The sequence below is a fragment of the Homo sapiens genome, chromosome 3 (assembly GCF_000001405.40).
Source record: "Homo sapiens chromosome 3, GRCh38.p14 Primary Assembly".
Classification (NCBI taxonomy): Eukaryota; Metazoa; Chordata; class Mammalia; order Primates; family Hominidae; genus Homo; species Homo sapiens.
In genome coordinates this window covers 193,314,584-193,337,927 of record NC_000003.12, presented here as the reverse complement: position 1 = coordinate 193,337,927, position 23,344 = coordinate 193,314,584, and the positions used below count along the sequence as shown (strand labels likewise).

The 23,344-nt window shown below is 40.4% G+C and overlaps 1 protein-coding gene across 4 annotated transcripts in view; it reads left to right on the top strand.

Moving 5' to 3' along the window:
- Positions 1–23,344, top strand: part of ATP13A5 (ATPase 13A5) — a 103,965-nt gene that overhangs the window by 40,826 nt on the left and 39,795 nt on the right. For 2 of the 4 annotated variants that reach the window (NM_198505.4, XM_011512770.3), the window contains exons 10-18: positions 2,829–2,999; positions 4,021–4,178; positions 6,617–6,805; positions 10,871–10,932; positions 12,914–13,064; positions 15,354–15,437; positions 16,091–16,247; positions 18,820–18,937; positions 22,832–22,956. In NM_198505.4, the coding sequence (NP_940907.2) occupies positions 2,829–2,999; positions 4,021–4,178; positions 6,617–6,805; positions 10,871–10,932; positions 12,914–13,064; positions 15,354–15,437; positions 16,091–16,247; positions 18,820–18,937; positions 22,832–22,956 (1,215 nt within the window). Of the gene's footprint in view, positions 1–2,828; positions 3,000–4,020; positions 4,179–6,616; positions 6,806–10,870; positions 10,933–12,913; positions 13,065–14,628; positions 14,719–15,353; positions 15,438–16,090; positions 16,248–18,819; positions 18,938–22,831; positions 22,957–23,344 lie in introns of those variants that run through there. The other 2 variants (XM_047448075.1, XM_017006305.1) reach the window with 2 other exon arrangements.

Sequence of the window (23,344 nt, the reverse complement as noted above, 5' to 3'; positions counted from 1 at the left end):
GAACTACAAACCACTGCTCAATGAAATAAAAGAGGACACAAACAAATGGAAGAACATTCCACACTCATGGATAGGAAGAATCCACATTGTGAAAATGGCCATACTGCCCAAGGTAATTTATAGATACAATGCCATCCCCATCAAGCTACCAATGACTTTCTACACAGAATTGGAAAAAACTACTTTAAAGTTCATATGCAACCAAAAAAAGAGCCCACATTGCCAAGACAATCCTAAGCCAAAATAATGAAGCTGGAGGCATCATGCTACCTGACTTCAAACTATACTACAAGGCTACAGTAATCAAAACAGTGTGGTACTGGTACCAAAACAGAGACATAGACCAATGGAAAAGAACAGAGCCCTCAGAAAGAATACCACACATCTACAACCATCTGACAAACCTGACAAAAACAAGAAATGGGGAAAAGATTCCCTATTTAATAAATGGTGCTGGGAAAACTGGCTAGCCATATGTAGAAAGCTGAAATTGGATCCCTTCCTTACACCTTATACAAAAATTAATTCAAGATGGATTAAAGACTTAAATGTTAGACCTAAAACCATAAAAACCCTAGAAGAAAACCTAGGCAATACCATTCAGGACATAGGCATGGGCAACGACTTCATGTCTAAAACACCAAAAGCAATGGCAACAAAAGCCAAAATTGACAAATGAGATCTAATTAAACTAAAGAGCTTCTGCACAGCAAAAGAAACTACCGTCAGAGTGAACAGACAACCTAGAGAATGGGAGAAAATTTTTGCAACCTACTCATCTGACAAAGGGCTAATATCCAGAATCTACAAAGAACGCCAACAAATTTACAAGAAAAAAACAAACAACCCCATCAAAAAGTGGGCGAAGGATATGAACAGACACTTCTCAAAAGAAGACATTTATGCAGCCAAAAGACACATGAAAAAATGCTCATCATCACTGGCCATCAGAGAAATGCAAATCAAAACCACAATGAGACACCATCTCACACCAGTTAGAATGGCAATCATTAAAAAGTCAGGAAACAACAGGTGCTGGAGAGGATGTGGAGAAATAGGAACACTTTTACACTGTTGGTGGGACTGTAAACTAGTTCAACCATTGTGGAAGACAATGTGGCGATTCCTCAAGGATCTAGAACTAGAAATACCATTTGACCCAGCCATCCCATTACTGGGTATATACCCAAAGGATTATAAATCATGCTGCTATAAAGACACATGCACACGTATGTTTATTGTGGCACTATTCACAATAGCAAAGACTTGGAACCAACCCAAGTGCCCATCAATGATAGAATGGATTAAGAAAATGTGGCACATATACACCATGGAATACTATGCAGCCATAAAAACGGATGAGTTCATGTCCTTTGTAGAGACATGGATGAAGCTGGAAACCATCATTCTCAGCAACTATCTCAAGGACAAAAAATCAAACACCACATGTTCTCACTCATAGGTGGGAATTGAACAGTGAGAACACTTGGACACAGGAAGGGGAACATCACACACCGGGGCCTGTCGTGAGGTGGGGGGAGTGGGGAGGGATAGCATTAGGAGATACACCTAATGTAAATTATGATTTAATGGGTGCAGCACACCAGCATGGCACATGTATACATATGTAACAAACCTGCATGTTGTGCACATGTACCCTAGAATATAAAGTAGAATAAAATAAAAAGAAAAAACTATGTGTTTTGAACCTATTACATATCACTAGGAAAATGAAGAGTATACAAATTTATATATGTCAAAGTTCTTGTTCCCAGTTATGACCTAGAAAGAGAGATGAGACCTAAATTTGTATAACTATGATTGATATAATACTATTTCCAAATTAGAAATATGACAAGTTATCTTGCTAATTGAACATTTAGTAAAAGACTGATGGAATTTTAAATTCATTCTAATACTCTTTAAATCTTGGAGCCAAAAATTATTATTAACATCTTTATTTTGTCTCTGAAATGTATCCTTTTTGAACTCTGAGCTGATTTCTTTGTACCTTAAATATTCTGTCTTATAGCCACCAGGGAAAGGAAAAAAATTGCTACCTGCAAAGAATGGGGGCCAATAAAAGGAAATGCAAGTGGCCTAGTTGAGCTGGAGCTTTTGTAGGGGAATGTCAGGCAATGATGTTTGAATCATGGTAGGCTTTGACAATCTAGCAGGAGAGTTTGGTCTTTATTCAGTAGTGGCAATGGAAAAGGCTAACGATTTTGAGCAAAAGAATGAGATGATAAAAATGGGACTTGGATGGGATCCATCTGAAAATGATGTGGAATAACTACTATTTTCTCACCTTGCTCCATGAGCTTATGAGGGCAAGATTTCTGTCTCTCTTGTTCATCATATTCCTAGCACCTAGCACAGTTCCTGGAACAGAATAAGCACCTAAAATAGCTGAATGAATGGGTGAATGAATAAACAAATGAATAAATGAGTGAATGCAAAGCAAATAGTAATTACTATTCACGTGCTGGAAAGCTCCTTCATTGCCTAAAATAGTGCTGGGCTTAATGAATGCTTGGGAGAATGATTCAGTGATAACTCATCTATAATAGGCTGCTTTTAAAATTATGACAACAAACCATGCAGGCCAGGTATAGGATAGATAGGCAGATCTAATCTAAATATTTGCAATAGAATCAAGTCTACCATTGCTTGTACCACCAGCATCTCTATGAACAGTCATCTGACTCATGGGATGGGCATTAAGACCGGATTAGTTGTGGTTTGTATAATTTCTTGAAACTGGCATGCACCAGTTCTGACCAACTACCTGAGCTTACATAGATTCAACAAAATACAATCCTCTTTAGGAGAAAGTATACCTGTTACAAAGACACCATTGCCCCAGATGGAGAACACTATGCCTTGGAAATGTCACAGTTTGGAGGATTATAGGAAACACGTCCTTTTCTGTGGAACAGAAGTTATCCAGGTCAAGCCCTCTGGGCAGGGGCCTGTACGAGCAGTCGTTTTGCAAACAGGTTAGTGGATTCCACTTTTGTAAGTTTAATTCATGCTTGAACATGGGGAGAGTTGGATTAGGGAAATTTAGTTTAGGATTATGGAGTCTGCCACATTCTGGTAGTAACAACATGCTTTTTTCCAAACAGACACTTATTATTCTAAAGTGTCACTATTTTTAATTAAATGGTTTATTGGTAAAACCCTTCTATGTGATGAAGGGTATGTGTAGGTGAAGTAAAATTTGTCAAAGGTAAAACTATGCTCTTCTTTTTGCTTGTGACCATACGCTGCTTCTATCTCCCTTGACACCTCCTCTGAGTGATTACCAAAAAACAATTTCAGCCACCACGACTATGAGGATTTTTTCCTTTCAAAGAGTTGCTTGCTAGGCTGTATGTCAAATTCAGTAATAAAGAACTCCACCTGGGTGCCCTATAGACCAGTTAAAGCCAACGAATCTGAAACTATTCATCCTCCTGTATTGACTTTCTCTGTTAATATCATCACCATCATGCTGGTCTCTTAATAACATCTCCAACTCCTCTTGTTTCCCATACCAAATGTGGCACCAAATCTGGATGATTCCGCAAACACTTCCTGAGTCCCAGTCTTTTACATGACGTGACACAATGAAGGCCTCCTATGACCTGGTCCTAGCTCTCTGTTCTAACCTCTGACCTCTGTTTCTGCCACCCGACTTATTCACAGATGCAAAATACACTTTACACTGTGATACCTGCATGCTTTAGTTTGGTTTATGATTTAGTTGTTCTAGCTGATTTTTTAAAATTAAAAATATCTAATTTTTTTAAATGTTCAAACTAGTTAGCAGGCACTAGACACTAGAGCATTGCTCAGCCTGTGGCCTACATGGAAGCTCATGGTTAAAAATCATGAAAACCACCTGAAAACTTATAAAATGATTAGGTAGAAGGTTAGAGGACACTCTACTCTTTTCCTCAAAGACAGTAAAGCCATTTTTAGGAGACCAAGTGTCCATCAAGCAGCCTTACTTGATCTATGATTATCTTTATGTAGGTTACAATACAGCCAAAGGGGACTTAGTGAGATCCATCCTGTACCCCCGGCCTCTGAACTTCAAACTATACAGCGATGCCTTCAAGTTCATCGTGTTCCTGGCCTGCCTTGGTGTCATGGGTTTTTTCTATGCCCTAGGGGTATATATGTACCATGGAGTAAGTACTGGGGGTAAGGCTTTTCAATAGTATAGATTCTGCAAAGAGCTTGACCTAACTCAGAGGATTGGTTTAGGTTACATCTTGATCCCATCATTCTGTGAATCATTACTGTCCAAAAGAGCTTCTTAGACAGCGGAAATGTTCTCATGCCTAGTTTGCCCCCAGTGTTTAGGTAATATCTAAAACACTATGCAATCAGTGGGTTTCCCATGTGTTCTGGTTAGGGTCTGAAATGAAGTTAATTTCCACTTTTACAGAGCTGGTACTGCATGAGATACCTACTTCCCTTTAAGCTACAGGGTGTCAGGTTTCATTTGGATGCTCCTTGTCATAGCCTGGTGGCTAGGGAGGGAAGGGTTGTCACTAAAGACCTCTGAGGTCCTTTCTGGTCCTGAGAGTCTGATTTTGCTGTGAACCAGAAAATAAGAAAGTCTGGGATCATAACAGTGTGAGCTGGTGGGGAGGAAGAGAAAATTGTGAATAAAACATCCAAACAGGTGAAAAACTGTGAGTGGCTTAATTACAATGTCCAAATTGGTGGCATCAATGAGCGTGTGTGTGTGTGTGTGTGTGTTTGTGTGTGTGTGTTTGTGTGTGTGTGTGTGTGAGAGAGAGAGAGGTGGGCAGTGAATATTGGTGGGAAAAGACATAGTAACAAGAATTTCAAGGCAATGTTCACGCCAAAACTTAACTGCTGAGTAGTTATTTCAATCTGAAATAGCTCCCAGGGAGCATTTCTGGGTCAAGAGAGGCCCACGATGGGGCCTGTGAAGAGCTAGGCAGAATGTCAAGGTCACTGGGGCTGGAATTTGAGGGAGTATGCCAATTTAATCTGGGGAGCTGGAGCATTGGGCAGAAAAGCAGGAAAAAAGCTCATGGAAGCCCTGGCAGTATTTGAGAATGAGGTTTCCTGGGAAGAACTTAACATCCAATACACACTGAGGCAACAAGACTAATAATCCCAGACCCCAACTTCTTGTGGGTCAGAACCTGTGGCTCTGTTGGCTGCCTCTATCTGCACTGGTTCAGCGCTAGACAAGGCTGAGTCCTTAGGGTCAAAACTCTTCCGTGTCTGTGGTTGGGAAAAGAAGGGAGTAATGAATTTTGTGATAAATTGATATTGGGCAAAAGATGTCCCAGCAGACATTGCTACTGAACTTGAATCCCATGTTTCCAATACTTAAAAAAGTATTTATGGCTAAAATGATGGTTAATTTAACAAAAACATAGGTGAGGTTCTAGAGGGTAGAATCATTAATATCTAGAGCATGTGAGGAAAACAAAACAATCAATCAGTCAACCCTGTGATTTGACCTCATCCCTGACCTTAATTGTGTGAGCCTCCTCTGGAGACCTGCTGTATTAGTCTGTTCTCATGCTGCTAATAAAGACATACCTGAGACTGGGCAATTTATAAAGGAAAGAGGTTTAAGAGACTCACAGTTCCACATGGCTGGGGAGGCCTCACAGTCATGGTTGGAAGGCAAAGCAGAAGCAAAACATGTCTTACATGGTGGCAGGCAAGAGAGTTTGTGCAGGGGAAATCCCATTTATAAACCATCAGATCTCATGAGACTTATTCACAATCATGACAACATTATGGGGGAAACTGCCCCCATGATTCGATTACCTCCCACTGGGTCCCTCTTACTACAGGTGGGAATTAGGGGAGCTACAATTCAAGACGAGATTTGGGTCGGGACACAGCCAAACCGTATCACCTGCCAGGGATCCTGAGTTCACAAAATTGACTTGATAATAAAACATATTGGTCATGGGTTTGTACCCTGCAGTAAGACAGAATAGGGTTCAGATTTCTGTCATTTACCTAGTATGTGGCCTTGGGAAAATTATTTAATTGTTAAAACCTCAGTTTCCTTACCTGTTAAATGGAGAAAATAATAGTATTTACGTCATAAGGTTGTTATAGAGAGCAACTAAATAATATACGTAGCCTAATACAGTTCCTGCTCCAGAGTTAGTATCCAGTGAGAGCAAGCTAATTTTATATTGGCTTCTCTGTAGTTAATAATATATGCTGAGATCTTGGAAGGATGTTGGTCCTAGTTTTTAATTATATTGCCATCCATTCAATCTATGTCCTGAGCACCTCCTCTGTGCTAAATCCCATGCTAGGCTCTGTATCTAGAGATCAATAAGGTAGATTCAAAGATGAATAAGCCATAGCTGCTACACCCAAGGAGTTTGTAGGCTAGTGGGGGAGAGAGATTCATAAGCCAACAGTCAAGCTTGGGCAGAGGGAATGCTAAGTAGAGGGAAACAGAACCAGGAAAGGGGTTGGTGGACTGGGAGTAGGGATCAAAGGTCTCCTTTGCTCTGCAGTAGGAGACAATGTGCTCATTCCTTTGGCACTAGGAAGGGTGGCAGTCTGCTGTGCTGGGCTATCCTGTATGAAAATGTCTGTCCTCTCCCAGGTTCCTCCAAAAGATACTGTGACCATGGCCCTGATCCTCCTCACCGTGACTGTCCCTCCAGTGCTGCCAGCTGCCCTGACCATAGGCAACGTGTATGCTCAGAAGAGACTGAAGAAAAAGAAAATCTTCTGTATCTCCCCACAGAGAATCAACATGTGTGGGCAAATAAACCTCGTGTGCTTTGACAAAGTATGATCCAGACTTCTCAGGTTTAATGTTAATGATTTCAAGGCATGGTGGAGCTGGGAAGAACCTCAGAAAATGTCTAGTCCAGTGTTCCCATTTTACAGATAGGAACGTTGAGGCCAGAGAAGGTCACAGAGTGAGCTAGTGCAAGATCACATTCTAGGAGCCTGCTCTGCTGACTCTTAAGGTTAGCAGCTTAGCCAGCACATCATGAATTTTTTATCTGTGAAACTTAATAATTTGTGTGCCTGGTTTGTGGTTTTTTTAAAACCATCTCTTACTATGTAACTTCTTAGACTGACTGACTTGGCAGAAAATGTGAGGAACATTTCTGTTTCCTGAAATGTTTTGTCCAGAAGATAAGTGAATCTGTTTCCTCTCTCCTCCTCTGCTTCTTTGAAGGAAAGGAAGGAAGGAAACAATGACCCTGTCCTGCCCCTTTGCTCCTCCAGGGCTTGTGACTCCAGGCTAGGTTGTCTCTGTGCTTAGGGACCTGGAAAGGTGGCAGAGGAGGAGCATATGCCACATGGGGAACACTGCGTTTACCAAGCAGGTCCTGACACCCCCCCATGACGTGAGTCTCCTATGGGGAACCTGGAGGACTTCAGCATTAGCTGCCTGCTATTTGGATCCTGCCCTCAGCTTGGACAGGCCAGTTTAACTGCTGTAAAGCAGTGGGCCTGGCTGGGTCCCTTTTGTCTTCAATTCATGTGCATTTGAATAATTTATTAGGGCCTTTGCCATTTTGTGGCAGAGAGCCACTGCTGTGTACAATGCTGGTAGAGAGTCCCATAATGAGTCATTCCTAGCCCTTGAGAAGCTTCTAGTCTAGCTGAGAAAGCAGGAAAATGGGAGTGTAGATGGCGATCATGCTGTGAGATGTGTGTTTAATAGAGGCCTGAGGAAAGCGCGGGGCACAGTTACCTGCCACGGTTGGAGGCCACCTTTGAGGTGCAGCCTTGGTTGTTAGAAAGAATAAGCCCCAGGCTCAGAGCTGAGCAGCTGACAAGCACAGGGGTACAAGGGGCCCACTGCATGTGGGGAACAGAGGACCATGGGGTGTGGCTAGAATATGGGCTGGTAGGTAGAGAATGAAGCTGGGTTGAGGGCAATTGTTAAGGGCCTCATATGCCACGCTAAGGAGTGGGTCCTTGTCTTGAAGCAGAATAGGAGCCTTTACTTTTTAAGAAGACTGGTGACATTTCTTTAGGTGTTTTCTATCCCACCAGGGGCAACTGGGGAGATGGGATGGAAGGGAGACAAGACTGAAGAAAGAGGCCATCTGGGGACAACAGAAGAGATCATTGCTTGTCCCAGACAAAAAGGACAAGGATGGAGAGTAGAAGGCAAATGGGAGTGACTCCAATGAGTAGACTCGACCAGGCTTGGTCCCCAGGTGAAAGGGGTATATCTCTTAGGTTATGTCAGTTCTCTTTCTGTTTGTATTTTGTTTGGCAAAGAAAGTTCTCGATCACCACCAGTCAAGAACCGACAAGGTTAACTTCATTTTAGATTCAGGGCCAAATAACACCCCCTTGGAAGTTCTCTAACAGGGATTCCTGTTACTTCCTCATGAGCCTCACTGGTGTCTGGAATATAAGAGGGAGACTTATGAAATATGTTCATTACATATTCAACTGTTTCTAAAATTAATTTTCCCGAGGCTGTTCACTTTATTTCCTGTATAAAACCTCTCCCTCCACATCCTCATGTCCTCACCTGCCAGGCTGTCTGTGAGGCTGCTTTTAGGTGTCCTTGGTCAAACTCTGCAGGGCATGATGACACGTGACAGTGCAAAAAACTCTTGATTGAAATTTGGCAAAATGAGAAATCTGACCCAGAATTTGGTACTAAGTCTTTGTGTGACCTTTTTTTTTTTTTCTTTTGAGATGGAGTCTCGCTCTGTCACCAGGCTGGAGTGCAGTGGTGCAATCTCAGCTCACTACAGCCTCCGCATCCTGGGTTCAAGTGATTCTCCTCAGCCTCCCGAGTAGCTGGGATTACAGGCGTGCACCACCATGCCCAGCTAATTTTTGTATTTTTAGTAGAGACGGGGTTTCAACATGTTAGCCAGGATGGTCTTGATCGCTTGACCTCGTGATCCACCCTCCTCGGCCTCCCAAAGTGCTGGGATTACAGGCGTGAGCCACCGTGCCCGGCCCATCTCTGTGTGACTTTTTAAGAAAAGCAGATTCAACCACAATCGTCTCTGAGTTTCTTTCCAGCTTTCACATTATAAAATTCTATCACCATCATGTTGGAATAAAGCACTCTGCCATTAATTGAATTTTCATCTAGTGTTATTTCCAGTTTCGGAGATATCTGTCACTGGGTTTCTGAGTCCATTTGTTCTCATATCTATTTCTATTTTCTATTGGTTTGTTATAACTTCTGTAAGACAAGTTCTTTCTTTTTATTCAATTCAGCCCAAGCCTGGGCTTGAATTTATGCTAAGAGGTTTTCTCTTTCTATCTTATTCCCCTTAGAACCTCAACTATAATTTAGTTTTCTCTATTTATGGTTAGTTTTATTGTTAAGGGGTCATTTTCATAGAGAGATAACATAATCTAATTTCTGTTTTGCTGCAGTATCATCTCTGTTTTCATGTTCAAAATATTGATGTTTAAAAACATCATCAGGAAAACATATCAGTTTGAATTAAGTTGCAAACTCTTTTTGAAATGCAACAACTTGAGGGGATTTGGAAACCGAACATGGTGGAGTCCTTTATAAAATGCAGGAGAGAAATGAAACAAATAGCTCTTTTTCAAAAAGTTGTTGTTTAAGAAATAATTCACTCGTGTGTTAGCACCTTCTTTGTGAAGTTCAAATAAATGAATGAAACAAAGTTTTCTTAATTATTTAATCTAGAAACCCAGAAAGAGCTTTGTCTTTCCACATACCCCGTATGATTCACTTAACATTTGCTAGTTTGGAGGAAGACTCCAGAAGGGCTGGATTTTGGTTCTGCCTCTCCAACCTACAGGCCACTATGACATTAGGCTCCTCATTTCACCTCTAACCTGCCTCCACCCTGTTAACTCAGTTGTGAAATGGAAAGCATTGTAAACACTTTCCTGTAAAGCATTATGCTAATGGATGTGCTATAATGACGGAGGTTGCCATTTTATAGAAAACTAGAAAATTCAGTGACTTCTATAGAGATAGGCTTGAAAAGTAGTGTCAGAGACTTGGATCTTAGTGTTGAAACAGGGTATTCTGCCATGCTTGGTAAAGCTCTGGTGGGCCCTGGCAGTGCTGAAGCAGCTAGCTGTAGCCAACTCACTTACTCAGGGTGTTAAGCAGGCCTAAAACTGTTAGCCTACTGCATCAAGACACCAGAGTATGTAATTCATCAACACCTGTGAAACAATGAGGAAATTAAAAGTGCTGTGATAGTACTCGGCTCCATTTTTCTTTCTCTGTTTCATTATCTAACAAATACTCTCCCATAGTATGGCGAATCAAATCTCTGAACTATTTTTCCCTTGATCTAAAAATAAAATCCACTTATGGGCATTAATTAATATTTATTATTAGCATTTACTTTCTCTCTATAGTCTCAAAGCCCTTTATCAACATTTCATTATCAATCTGGACAGTCACTGTGTCACCCATATTTTTAGAAAATTACTGTGAACCAGATGGCAAACTGTGAACTGAACAGTCTCGAAAATGAACAAAAAAAAATGAGCTCTGCTTCAGCGAGATAGCAGGTGACAACTAAAAGTCAGACTCGAGCTGATTCTTGTACTGAACCTCTCCTGGTTAACAACAGCAACGGTCATAGCAATACACAAACCAAACCAAAACAAAACACTTTCATTTTTTCCTCATCATTAGTAACTGAAATCACCTAATTATCGACATGGTCTTTTGGGGATCATGTATCACCTGCTTAATTTTTCTTGTGGGTACTCCTCTCTGATTTAAAATTTGGTACTTATAAACAAGGTATTTAGACTACTGGATCTACTATAATATCTTAGAAACTTGGGTTTTGTTTAAATTACTATATAATTAAAAGCTTTAAATCTTATGCTAATATTGCTTTTAATTTTTACTCAGACTGGCACTCTCACTGAAGATGGGCTGGACCTCTGGGGGACTGTCCCTACTGCTGACAACTGGTAGGCCTCTTATGTGAAAATGGAAGGTGTGTTTGGTGGAGTTACCTGGATGATACTCAAATCCATCTTTTGGGTGTTAAGGGATGAATGTCACATAAAATATATACAATAGTTGGCTGGAACTAGTTCCTAATTATTCTAACTTGCTTAAATGAATTCTAATTTCAGAATGAGAAAGGAAAAGTAGGTCTTCAAAATCTCCATGAAAAATGGAGTAGGATGAGGTGGATAATTAAGGAACTAAATGAATAAAACAGAGAAAAAAGAGTGAAATGAAGACCATGCTTAATTAAAAACTACAAAACTTCCTGGGTGGCTAGCGCAGGCAGGTGGTGTTTCACAGTCTAGCGGGATAAAAAGGTGCAAATACACCCACCTTTGATGTACAACACAGGCCATGAAAATTGTTACTATTAAGGCAGAAATGTCAGAATGGAGAAGAAGAAATGGAGATTATTTGATATAACACAAAGTCCTGACTTTTATATAATTACATGGTGGGTAAAGACAAATTAATTTTGAAATTTAGTGAATCAAAGAAAGCCACCTGAAGGAGATGGCACTTCAGATAGGTTTTGAGGGACGTGCGGCTAGAATTTTTACAGCTGTGGGCTAAAAGCTGGCACTAGGGAGAGGAGAGGACAATCACATAGATGTCTACTCCAGAAAGAGCTACAGAAGGGAAAGAGGGCCCCTGGAGGGTGAATCTCCTCATGGTATCTCCCTGTGGCTTCTAGCTCCTTCCCTATGGGCTAAGACTTGCCTTCTCAATTTGAGCGGCGATGGCCTCTGCTCTTAAGCTCTAAGTACCCTATTTTGGTGCCAACAGTGGCTGAGGCTGCTGTCAGTGACAGAAGACACTTTGCAGGGGACTCCCAAGATGACGAAGGGGCCAGGTAAAGCATGGCACAAGGTAACAGCAGACAAGCAGTGTGATGTTGCAGAAGATACCCTGGACTGGGTGACAAGGAACACCTGAGCTTTAACCCTACTGATGTGTCTCTGCTCCTGGTGCTCAGATGTCCCGGCCAGCCCTTTGCCCAGACAGGCAAGGAATCTATTGGCCAGAGCAGTGAAAGGGAAAAAAGATGTCCACAGTTTCCACCCCTCCATCTTCCTCCCTTGTCTCTGGTACTCTGAAGGTTTTCGGAGACTAGAAACAACTAGACACAATCACTATTCAGCTGTAAGGTGGGAAGAGAGGAAGATACAAGATACCAGTTTGTATTATCAAAGAGAAAAACAGGCTTTAGAGGTGGGATGTCCAGGGTGCTTCAAGAAGTAGGGGCAAACTCTAAAGGGCTGAGACGTGAAAAATGCTTCTGCATCCATGCAGCCTTCTTTCCTATCCCTAATTTCCTGCTCCCTAAGTAGCCCTAGAGACTTCTTGCCTAGGCTGTGTGGCTTTCTGCAGACAGCTCTACAGAGTTTGCAGGTATGACTCCCAGCTGCCTGTTCAGTGCCTTCCCACAATGCTGCCATTATGTGGGCTGGCTTCAAGTAATATGAAAAAAGTCCCTGCAATTCTATCCAAAGCCTCTGAAACTATGTTATTGATTGGCCAGTGGAAAATTCTGTTGAGAACAAAATTCATATCCAACTCAAAGAAATGTTTATATAAAGATAACTCTGTAGGCAAAACACCCTGTTTAAAAAATAAAGAAACCAAGTGGGCAGGGGCTTAAGAGCAGAGAAGTCTCTGGACAAGCATAGCAATAGCAAGAAGTTTAATGTGGATCTAGAGTACAGGGCATAGAGGACATTAGTAGGAGTGGACACTGTAAGGTAAGGTAGATCCGAAGTGGACAAGACTTTGAATACCAGGCTAAGGGGTTTGGACTTTATCATTTGGAGCATAGGGAGCCATGGGAAGGTTCTGAGCATGAACGTTAGGTGTTTGGAGCTCCACTTTAGTAAGATTTAAGGGACAGAATGTGCAAAATGATTTTATCAAAGACTTTAACATTACCTTCTCTACCAGCTTCCAGGAAGCCCACAGCTTTGCCTCAGGCCAGGCTGTGCCATGGAGCCCACTGTGTGCGGCCATGGCCAGCTGCCACTCTCTGATCCTTCTCAATGGGACCATCCAGGGAGACCCTCTGGACCTCAAAATGTTTGAGGGCACTGCCTGGGTAAGGTGATAGTTTAATGGAAAGATGAGAATCTGAGGAAATCTTTACTGGGAGTGCTGAAGCTTTTCTAATTTTTGTTAAAACACAGAGAAGGTTCATAATAATGTATGTATAAGCGTGTAACACTACCAGAACTTCCCAACCTGTGCCCCCAAAGAATTCTGTTAATGGTTGCTGCATGAAATAGGCGTCCATTATTGAACAAACTTGGGAACTGTTGTTTAAACAAAGTTAAACTCATTTCTTGACTGCCTGATTTCTTTAATATACTGTGGTGTTTTGTGAATATTCAAGAGGGAATATGACATGCAGCATTTACCGAACCTATCTGACCTCAAAAACCTTACTGACACCCATAACCCAGCATGTTCTCCAAAACATCAGTGTTTTCCAAAACACTATCAGAGAAACAGTAGTCAAAAGCAGTGTTCTCTGGTAGAGCAGCCACGAGCCATATGTGGCTACTCAGTCCTTGAAATGTGGCTCTGCAACTGAGAAACTGAATTTTTAATCTGATTTAATTTTAAATAGTTTAAATTTAAATAGCTACAAGTGGCTGGTGGCGACTGTGTATTGTAAAGCATAAGTCTAGACACCAAACTGGAGGACTGCATTCCAACTGGTTCAATCTCCTGAGCTGAGTGTGAATGAAAACGGAAGGGTATAAACCCACCCTGAAGGCTGCCATAGTGGAAAACCCTCTGCATTTCACCACTCTCCAGCTGTGTGATCACAAAGCCAGAGCCAGGACTGAGTCTGTGACCTCATCTGTACGTTTGGGGTAATAATGCCTCATTCACGGACTTATGACCACTGAGACTATGAATCTAAAGGGGCTTTGAGCACAATGAAGAGCCAAACAAGTAGAGGGTGTTCACTAATTAACTGGTTAGTTAATTACACCCTGTTGCCTCCGAAGAACATCCTAAAGCTGTGTCCAATGATGTATAAAATACAGTACAGCAGTTAAACATAGCTGCAAAAGAATGGGAACAAATGATTGCAGGGAAACAAAGCACACCTAACAAAGAAGCTAATACAAAGACATATAATAGGGAAATTTTAGCTTTCTAGAGGGCAAATCAATGAAAGAGGAAACCTGGTAAAAAGGGAAACTTCTGATACCAGCAAGTTAAAATAGAGCATTTGCTGTGGAAAAACATTTGACATAGTGACCAATTCTCTGGATCTCAATGGAGAGGAATCGGTGTATTTACTATAAGCAGTGTCCTTAACAGAATCATTGGGATAAACACGGTGATGAGTTGTGCAGGGTCATTTTATATCTGGCTTTGGTCCTGGCCCTAACTACATCCCCCTCTCCATTATAGGAGGGCTGATCTGTCTTTACAAATAACATACTTGGTTGGGAATATAAATCTTTAGTATTAGCTCTGTAAGAACCATCTGTTAAGAATAGTTGTATCCATCCCAAACAAAGCATAAAAATGCATGATTTTTCACTGAGTTTAGAGCTGTGTCAGAAGCTGTCTTGAGTATCTTTTGGTAACTGGGAACCTTCCACTCCACATACAGAGGAGGGAAACTGTCCTTTTAGACTGTCAAGAATTTTAGCATTTGATGGGATGTCAGAATATTTTTCAGAAGAAATTGAGATCTACAGAAATAAAGTGGTGTCCCCAAGATTAAACAGGTAAGTGGCAGAGTGGAAACCAGATACTATCTCCTGTTTTCTGACCTCTACTATTTATATATATGACTGTCTTTCCCATATTTTAATATTGGTTAATATTGGCTTCTCAGAGGTATTAACTTCTGTTGTAATATCCAAAGAATACACGTCATTTTCAAACAGGCTTTCTAATTTGCTAGCAGCTGACATACCAACTCCCTAGTTAACTCAATTAGGCTAGTAGCATAGGTATAGTATGAAGAACTAGTGCCATGTTTATCTCAGGACCCAGTCCTAACTCATCTGAGAGCTATGGTGCTCGGCAATGTTGGAGACTACATCTCCACTTAATCCCTCCTCCAATTACTAGATGTAATCATTTAGAAAGATCCATGGACCTGTAGCTAGCACTTCTTCCATCAATTACTTCTTAAAATGAATTCACAATATTTTTGGCTTTTGACATTCTACAATAAGGCCCCTAATATAAATCGATACAACAGAAATTTGACAATGACAGTATTAAGATAATTGGCCTGGAAGAGAAAATATGTAAAAATGGCTTTGAAAAGATTAAAGTATTGTGCAAATAAGAGATATTTCTTTCTTAATATTTTTATTCAAAGAATCTTATGAATGTTTTCATTTTATAACAGAAAATGGAAGATTGCATTGTAGACTCCTGCAAATTTGGGACGTCAGTTTCAAACATCATAAAACCAGGACCAAAAGCCAGTAAGGTATGATTTCCTTCTTTACATCACATAGCTCTTTCCCCATAAAACTGGTAAAACATTTCTGACTTGCACATATTTTTATAGTCCTATTATTTTGCCTTATCATAACAGTTTCCACGGTTGGTTTGCTGTTTCTTTCATTTCCGAATTTGTCTATTAATTTATTCAACAAACACTACCTGTGTACGCTAGGGCATTGTGCTAGGTGCTAGCAGATAAAGAGGCTTCAAAACAAGACACACTTGGCTCTGGGTTGGAGGAACAGGTAGACTCATAGAAAAATCAATATAGGTGCAGATAAGTGCAACACAATGTGCCAAATGCTATAATCAAGGCTGAAGAAAGAGTTTCAAGAGTCCTGACATGGGAATGAATACTGTTTCTGGGAGATAAAAGCACTGCAGAGGAGATGACCTGTGAGCTTGGCCTGGAAGGTGATTAGGATTTCTCCAGGGGAAGGTCCTTGCAGTCCAGACAACTTGTTGAGGGAGTCACTTTAAGGCAGCCACACACACACACACAAAATCAATGTTGTGACAAATATACTACATCAAGATGTCTCTGGGCTCATTGCACAGTAAAGCCCTTTTGTTGGTATGCATTTGGAAATATCACTTAGCAGCTTGTTAAGCTCCCTGTTGTTGATGGGCTTGCAGAGTCCAGTGGAAGCCATCATCACCTTGTGCCAGTTTCCATTTTCCTCGAGCCTGCAGAGGATGTCCGTGATCGCTCAGCTAGCTGGGGAGAATCATTTCCATGTCTACATGAAAGGTGCCCCAGAAATGGTGGCCAGGTTCTGCAGATCTGAAACAGGTACTAACACTTTTCTCTTTCAAGAAGTAAAATACTTTTGTTTTTTCTTTGAGACAGAATCTTGCTCTGTCCCCAAGGCTGGAGTGCAGTGGCACGATCTCAGCTCACTGTAGCCTCCACCTCCCAAGTTCAAGTGATTCTCCTGCCTCAGCCTCCCAAGTAGCTGGGATTACAGGAGCATGCCACCACACCCGGCTAATTTTAGTATTTTTAGTAGAGACGGGGTTTCACCATGTAGGCCAGGCTGGTCTCAACCTCCTGGCCTCAAGTGATCCGCCTGCCTCAGCCTCCAAAAGTGCTGGGATTATAGGTGTGAGCCACCGCGGCCAGCCGAGACCAAATACATAAAGCCAACAAACACAGAAAGCTTCACAATCAATGAACGTGGAGCTGCTTGTTTCCTGGGTAGGTGCAAAGTAGGCCCAGTAGATCCTAAGAAGCAGGGGTGATAATTTCAAGGCTGGGAGGCAGCGACTAAATATCTGGCTGTGGGTGCAGTAAGAAAAGTACAACCACAGTGAGGCATCTGGGAAGGAGACGAGATGTGAAGCTTGCATCAGGAGCCAGAATAGGGAGCTACTGAGGGTCAGAGAACTAGGGGAGGTGTGAATGAGGGAAATGGAGAGGTCTGGACGCTAGGTAAGTTCTGCAGACATGACTGCTCTGTCACCTCCAGGGAGAATCAGATCGATGGGAGGAGAATATAGAAGAATATAGAACAGAAATAAAAGTGATCAGAGTAAATTCAATGGTATTAGAGCAAGATAATTCATAATTTTCACAGCAATTTCATCTTTCTGGGCCAGACTTTGAGCTGATTTGTATTGCTTTTTAGTCTTATAAACATATGCACTCTTTAAGCGGCAGCCAGATGTATAAGAATGTTGTTGCATTCAAATGAGTTCATTTGGATAAAATTGGTCTTTTTGTCTTCCGATTTTCATGTAGACTCTCCTTATGATTGCTGATGGCCATCAACTTGTGCAGAGAATTCTAGATTTGGCAAATAATTCCTTTAACTTCTCTATTGGGAGTCTTTTTTTAGCCCCTTTTCTTCTGTCTTTGATCTTCAGCATAGGTCACATTAACTCTGTCCTTCACTGATTACAACATATACTGTGTTTGTTTTGTTTCAGTTACACGGGTACAGCTGAGCATCTTCTTGACATTTAAACTGGTATCTATTGTCCCTGCTCTCTCAGTAAGGATTTGGGCCTGTCACTTGGCACTTGTTTTCCTGGCAGCTCTTTCAGTTCTTCCTGTTTTCCCAACTTCCAATCTTTGACTTACGCTAATACTATCTTCAGTGATTTCCACCACCACCGTACCCCATTTTTAGAAATAGAGAGCTAAGAACTTTCTTGAAATTAGATTCCCACCTCCAGGAATATTTTAGAATTACAGAAAGTCTGAAATGAATGGAGACAGAGAGATCTGGAATTCTCATTTTATGGATGAGAAACTAAGGTGCAGAAGGGAGACTGAACATGACTAAGGTCCACATGGAAGTGGAAGGGAGAATAGAACTTAGTTGATTTGCCACCTAAGCTACTATACCTCCCATTGTTCTGTGGTTCCCTCTAATACCCTTATAGGTACGTTATAAATCATAAAGATTTTATAAACATAGTTGTGATTGCCATGCTAAAACACACAAATGTTGGCATTGTGTCATCTTTCACCTAAAGCAGGATTTGGCAAACTTTTCTGTAAAGATCAAGATAGTTCTTACTTTAGGCTTTGCCAATCACATGGCGTCCATTTCAATTCCTCAACACTGTCACTGAAGCCTTAAAGCAGCCATAGACAATGAACAATCAAATGGGCATGGCTGTGTTTCAGTGAAATTTCATTTATAAAAACAAGCTATAGACCAGATTTAGCCTGTGCATCCTAGTTTTGTTTTTTTGACCCCTGATCTAGAAAATCAGCTGTTTCTCTCATTTTATCCAAGTACCCCAGTCCTGAGGTCTGTTCTTACTGAACCCAGTTGGTACATTTGACACCCAGTTTGTCTGAGTCAGCTTGTGCTATTATAACAAAAGACCATAGACTGCGTGCTTGAACAACAGAAATTTATTCCTCACAGTTCTGGGGGCTGGAAAGGCCAGGATAGAGGTGTTGCCCAACGTGGTTCCCGGAGAGGGCTTTCTTTCTGGTTTGCAGATGGTTGCCTTCTTCCTGTATCCTCACATGGTGGAGAGAGATGTGTTTTCTTAGGGCATCAATCTCATTCACGAGGGCTCCACCCTCATAACCTAATTACCTCCTGAAGGCCCCACCTCCAAATACTATTGCATTAGAGATTAGGCTTCAACATATGAATTTTGGAGGGACACATTCCATCCATAACGCAGTAAATGACCAGCACGGCTTTGACATTTTTTCCATCAAAATAATAAGAACACACTGATGAAGTTGTTTGTGGCCTTTAGGAGAAGCTCTAAGTTTTCTATTAAAGTGCTTTTATGGAATGAAAGTTAAGACAAGGTACAATGGCTGTGTCCTGGAGTCTTGCTTAGACCAGCCTTCAACATGACCTTACACTTACCTGTTTCTTCTACCCTGGCAGTGCCCAAGAATTTCCCACAGGAACTGAGGAGTTACACGGTGCAAGGCTTCCGTGTCATTGCTCTTGCCCACAAAACCTTAAAGATGGGGAATCTTTCAGAAGTCGAGCACTTAGCCAGGTAAGCAATTCAGAAATTGGCACTAGAGCAGGCTCTGTGCCCATGAAGTGCGAGTCCTGGAGATGAACAGATGAACAGTTCTAATCACCTGGAAGGCTCTCAGAGACAGAGAATTAATCTTGTACAGTCCCCTGACTCAGAGATGGATAATTGTAGGTGATACTGGAGATGACTTGCTCAAGTCACAATGCTGGTTGGTGGCAGAACAAGGATGGTACTTGAGAGCTTCTGACTCCAAGATACCAGTGTGTTATCTCTGCTTGGCACTATGTTATGTCAACTTTAGTCGCAGCTCTCATCCCATCAAAACAACCAACGCTCCTTCAACCTCAGAGCATTATGTGACCAATCAACTTGGGTGGCCCATACACAGAGAGGTTGAGAGAGGGAGACAGTTGGCACTTTGAAAGATTTTGAGAATACTTTAGACGTGGTTTTTTCAGTGCTCAATACTACAACATCTCCTTCGTATCTGTGAAGGTAACAAGGGCAAATTGAATTACTTATGAGAAATAAAATTCAGTATTCTTAATTACATTACAGGGATAAGTTGTCCTCATTAGAGGATAATTTATAAATTATTATTTCTTTCAACGTTCTTCAGTTTTTAAAGGCTATTTTCAAATTATCTATGACAAAGGAGTAAAAAAATACTGTGGAAAACTGAATAGCAGAAAATCTATTTATTTCTTACATTGGATTTGTGTTGCTGATAAATGCTAATTTATATACAGCTAGCTCCTTCATGTAAAATAGTGATATCCTTGGTTTAACATTATTATTTGCAACCTAAGTCCATTGACTCTAAGTTAATTAGTAAACACAGTCCCTTCCTTACTCTGTGCTTGTTTCACCATCTATAAAATATGCAATTGGATGATCTCCAAGAAGGCCTTCAGCCATGACATTTTAATACTTGAAACAGGATCACAAAGCTTATTTTGAAATATATGAATGTCATTCTCAGATTTAACATTCCAGGTGTTAGCTATTCTTGAGCAAACATAAAGGTCCAGACCACATAGGATTTGTAATTTTCTAAACACAAATTTGAATAATCAACGTTAAGGACATGTGTGAAGAAAAGATCTATGTAGCTAGTGATGGAGTGTAGCCATCATCCAGCTGTCACATACAAACGCAGCTGTGTTGTTCTCATGTAAGAGCCACTAGTGGGATAGACATTATAAATATAACAAAATAAGAAAATGAAGATAAAATGTGCTATATTTCCAACCATTCCAGGTTTTTTTGGGGAATATCAGGAACTTATTATACTTCTTAGAATTTAGTTACTATTTTCAAACAGGGTAAAAGGATAGGGTTTTGGTTTTTCTTAGAATCAAATTCTATTTAGCAAAGTTTTCCAACTAGAAAAATTTAAAACTTCTTAAAAATTGGAGTCATAATGGGGAAGTAGAAAAGTTTTTTGAGATGACGTAAAAAGTCACCCCAAACTAAAACAGCAGGATAAATACTCCATCAAGGCTCACCCCTTCACCAGTTTAGCAAATCTGTATTGAACTTAACTGTATGTCAGACGCTCAAGGAATTGAGAACTTATTTGGAAGTGAATAAAATAAAATCCTTGTCCTCATGAATATATCCTAGTTGGGGAAATAGATTAGAAAATAAACCCATAAAATATTATCCCACTAGTGGTTCTTAAATGACCTGAGGGGGAAAATATAAAGTAAGTTAAGAGGACTTTTTAAAAAAGACAGAGAATGTCATTTTGCCTAGGCAATCAGCAAAGTCCTCAGAGGAGCAACATTTTAACAGACATTTAATAAAATAAGAGAGAAAGACACGCAGATATCCAGAGGAAGAGCATTGCAGGGAATAGAAATGGTGGGTACAAAAGCTTTGACACAAGCACTGCTGGGAGTGTTGTAGGGTAACAAGCAGCCAAGTGCCTAAAGTAGTGAACGAGAAGAAGCATCATAAAATAGAAACAAAGAACATTTGCCTGTTTTTGCTTTTGTTGCCTGTGCTTTATGTGTCATAGCCATGAAATCATTGCCAAGACCAATATCAAGAAGATTTCTCCCTATGTTTTCCTCTAGTAGTTTCACGGTTTCAGGTCTTATGTTTAAGTGTTTAATCCATTTTGAGTTGATTTTTACGTATGGTATAAGATAAGGGTCCAATTTCATTCTTTTGCTGGTGGATATTAAACTGAAAAGTTTTGCACAGCAAAGGAAATAACAGAGTGAAATAGCAACCTATAAAATGGCAGAAAATCTCTGCAAACCATATATCTGATAAGACATTAACATCCAAAATGTACAGAGGACACAATTCAATAGGAAAAATCAATAAATAATCCAATTTAAAAATGAACAAAGGCCCTGAATAGACATTTCTCCAAAGACGTACAAATGACCAACAGATATATGAAAAAGTGCTCAACTTTACTAGTCATTAGGGAAATGCAAATCAAAACCACAATGAAATACCACCTCATACCTGTAAGGATGGCTATTTGAAACAAAAACAAAAGAACAAGTTGACAAGGATATAGAGAAATTAGAACCTTTGTAAAATGGTACAGCTGCTATGGAAAACAATGTGGAGGTTCTTTAAAAAATTAAAAATAGAATGTTTTTAATTTTTTAAAACATTGGATCACCAGGTGATCCAATGGTCCAAAATCCCACTTCTGAGTATATATCCAAAAGAACTGACATTGGGATCTCAAAAAAAGGTATCTTCACCTTTATGTTCATTGCAGCATTATTTATAATAGTCAAGATATGGAAACAACCTAAATGTTCATCATTGGATGAATGGATTTTAAAAATGTAATATGTACATATAATGGAATATTATTAAGCCTTAGAAAAGGAGAAAATCTTGCCATATGAGACAACATGAATGAAACTGAAAGACATCATGCTAAGTGAAATAAACCAGTCACAGAAGGCCTAATACTGTGTGATCCTACTTATCTGAAGCATCTGAAATAGACATATTCATAGAAGTAGAGAGTAGAGACTAGAATTGTGATTACCAAGGGCTAGGGGGAGGGGGAAATAGGAAGTTGTTGTTAATGGATATAAAGTTTCAGTTATGCAAGATGAATACATTCTAGAGAAGTGATTTTAACACACACACACACATAAAACAGGGTAGAAGGAAACTTTTTGAGGTGATGGATATGTTTATTACCTGGATTATGGTAATGGCTTCACAGCTGCATGCATATTGTTCAGATCTATCTCCCTGTAATCTTAACACCACGGTGCACAGCAAAATGAACAAAGATCAAAAAAGAGTTCTTGGCCCCCAAATTTACTTTTTAAAAAGCCACCCAAGAGTGATTCCATTTCAGAGGAACGTTCCTACATAACTAATGCAACCCAGTTGGACTATAAGCCATCACTTTCAAATTCCGAAAACTGTTCAGAGCCCTGTCTGATGCCAGTAAATATTATTCAAGGCGACAGATGGAAACTAAGATGAATGACACTGTATTCAACTACTACTATCGTGTCTTGTATGTATGCAGAATGCCCTTAATAAATGCCAAATAAACTGAAACGATTGCAAGCTCAAAAAAGACAAAGCACTGAGAAATTAAAAAATAAAGTATATTTGATTAACATATTTAAAAACCAACAGAAGAGTTGGAAGATAAGCACATTGTTTTTAAAAATAAAGTTGGAAACTGGAAAAAACAGATTTAGAAGTGGTTGCCTCTAGGAAGGAGAGGGGTGAGGTGGTGTGGAGACAGACTACTGGTTTTCATTATAAGCTTTTAAGTTCATTTTGATTTTTAAAATGTGCCTGTATTGCATTAATAAAACTTATAAATTTTTAAAAGAAGAAATAAATTGAACTATGGAGCCTACGTAGATATACTTTAATATTGATTTTCTCCTGAATACAAAGAGAAAAAGTGGAGTCAGAGTTAACATTTCTGGGACTTCTCATCATGGAGAATCGCTTGAAAAAAGAAACCAAACTGGTCTTGAAGGAACTGAGTGAGGCCCGTATCAGGACTGTGATGATTACAGGTATGTATTTGTTTCTAGGGGCCTGGCAAGTTGATTGTATCCTAGGCATAAGAACAAGATGTGTGAGCTGAGTGAGTTCATGTATCAGAGACAGGGAAAAATGTTCTGTTGTCGAATTTGTTACCCTGTAGTCCCTTACCTAAAAACATGTGCAGCTGCCCCGACAGGACCAGAAGCTTTGAAGGTAGGGACCGTATCTCATCCTCTTTGTCTAATGACTACCCCTCCCAGCCAGGATCTGTGCGGTGCCTCAAGGCTCACAGTAAATGAGCAAGAATGGGTGTGTTCTCATCAAGAAACCCAGTGATCCCTCTGCATAGAGGATTGAGTCTCTGGTTGATGGTCCTCTAGGGCAGTAGGGCCAGGCATGGTGTATGATCGTCAAACC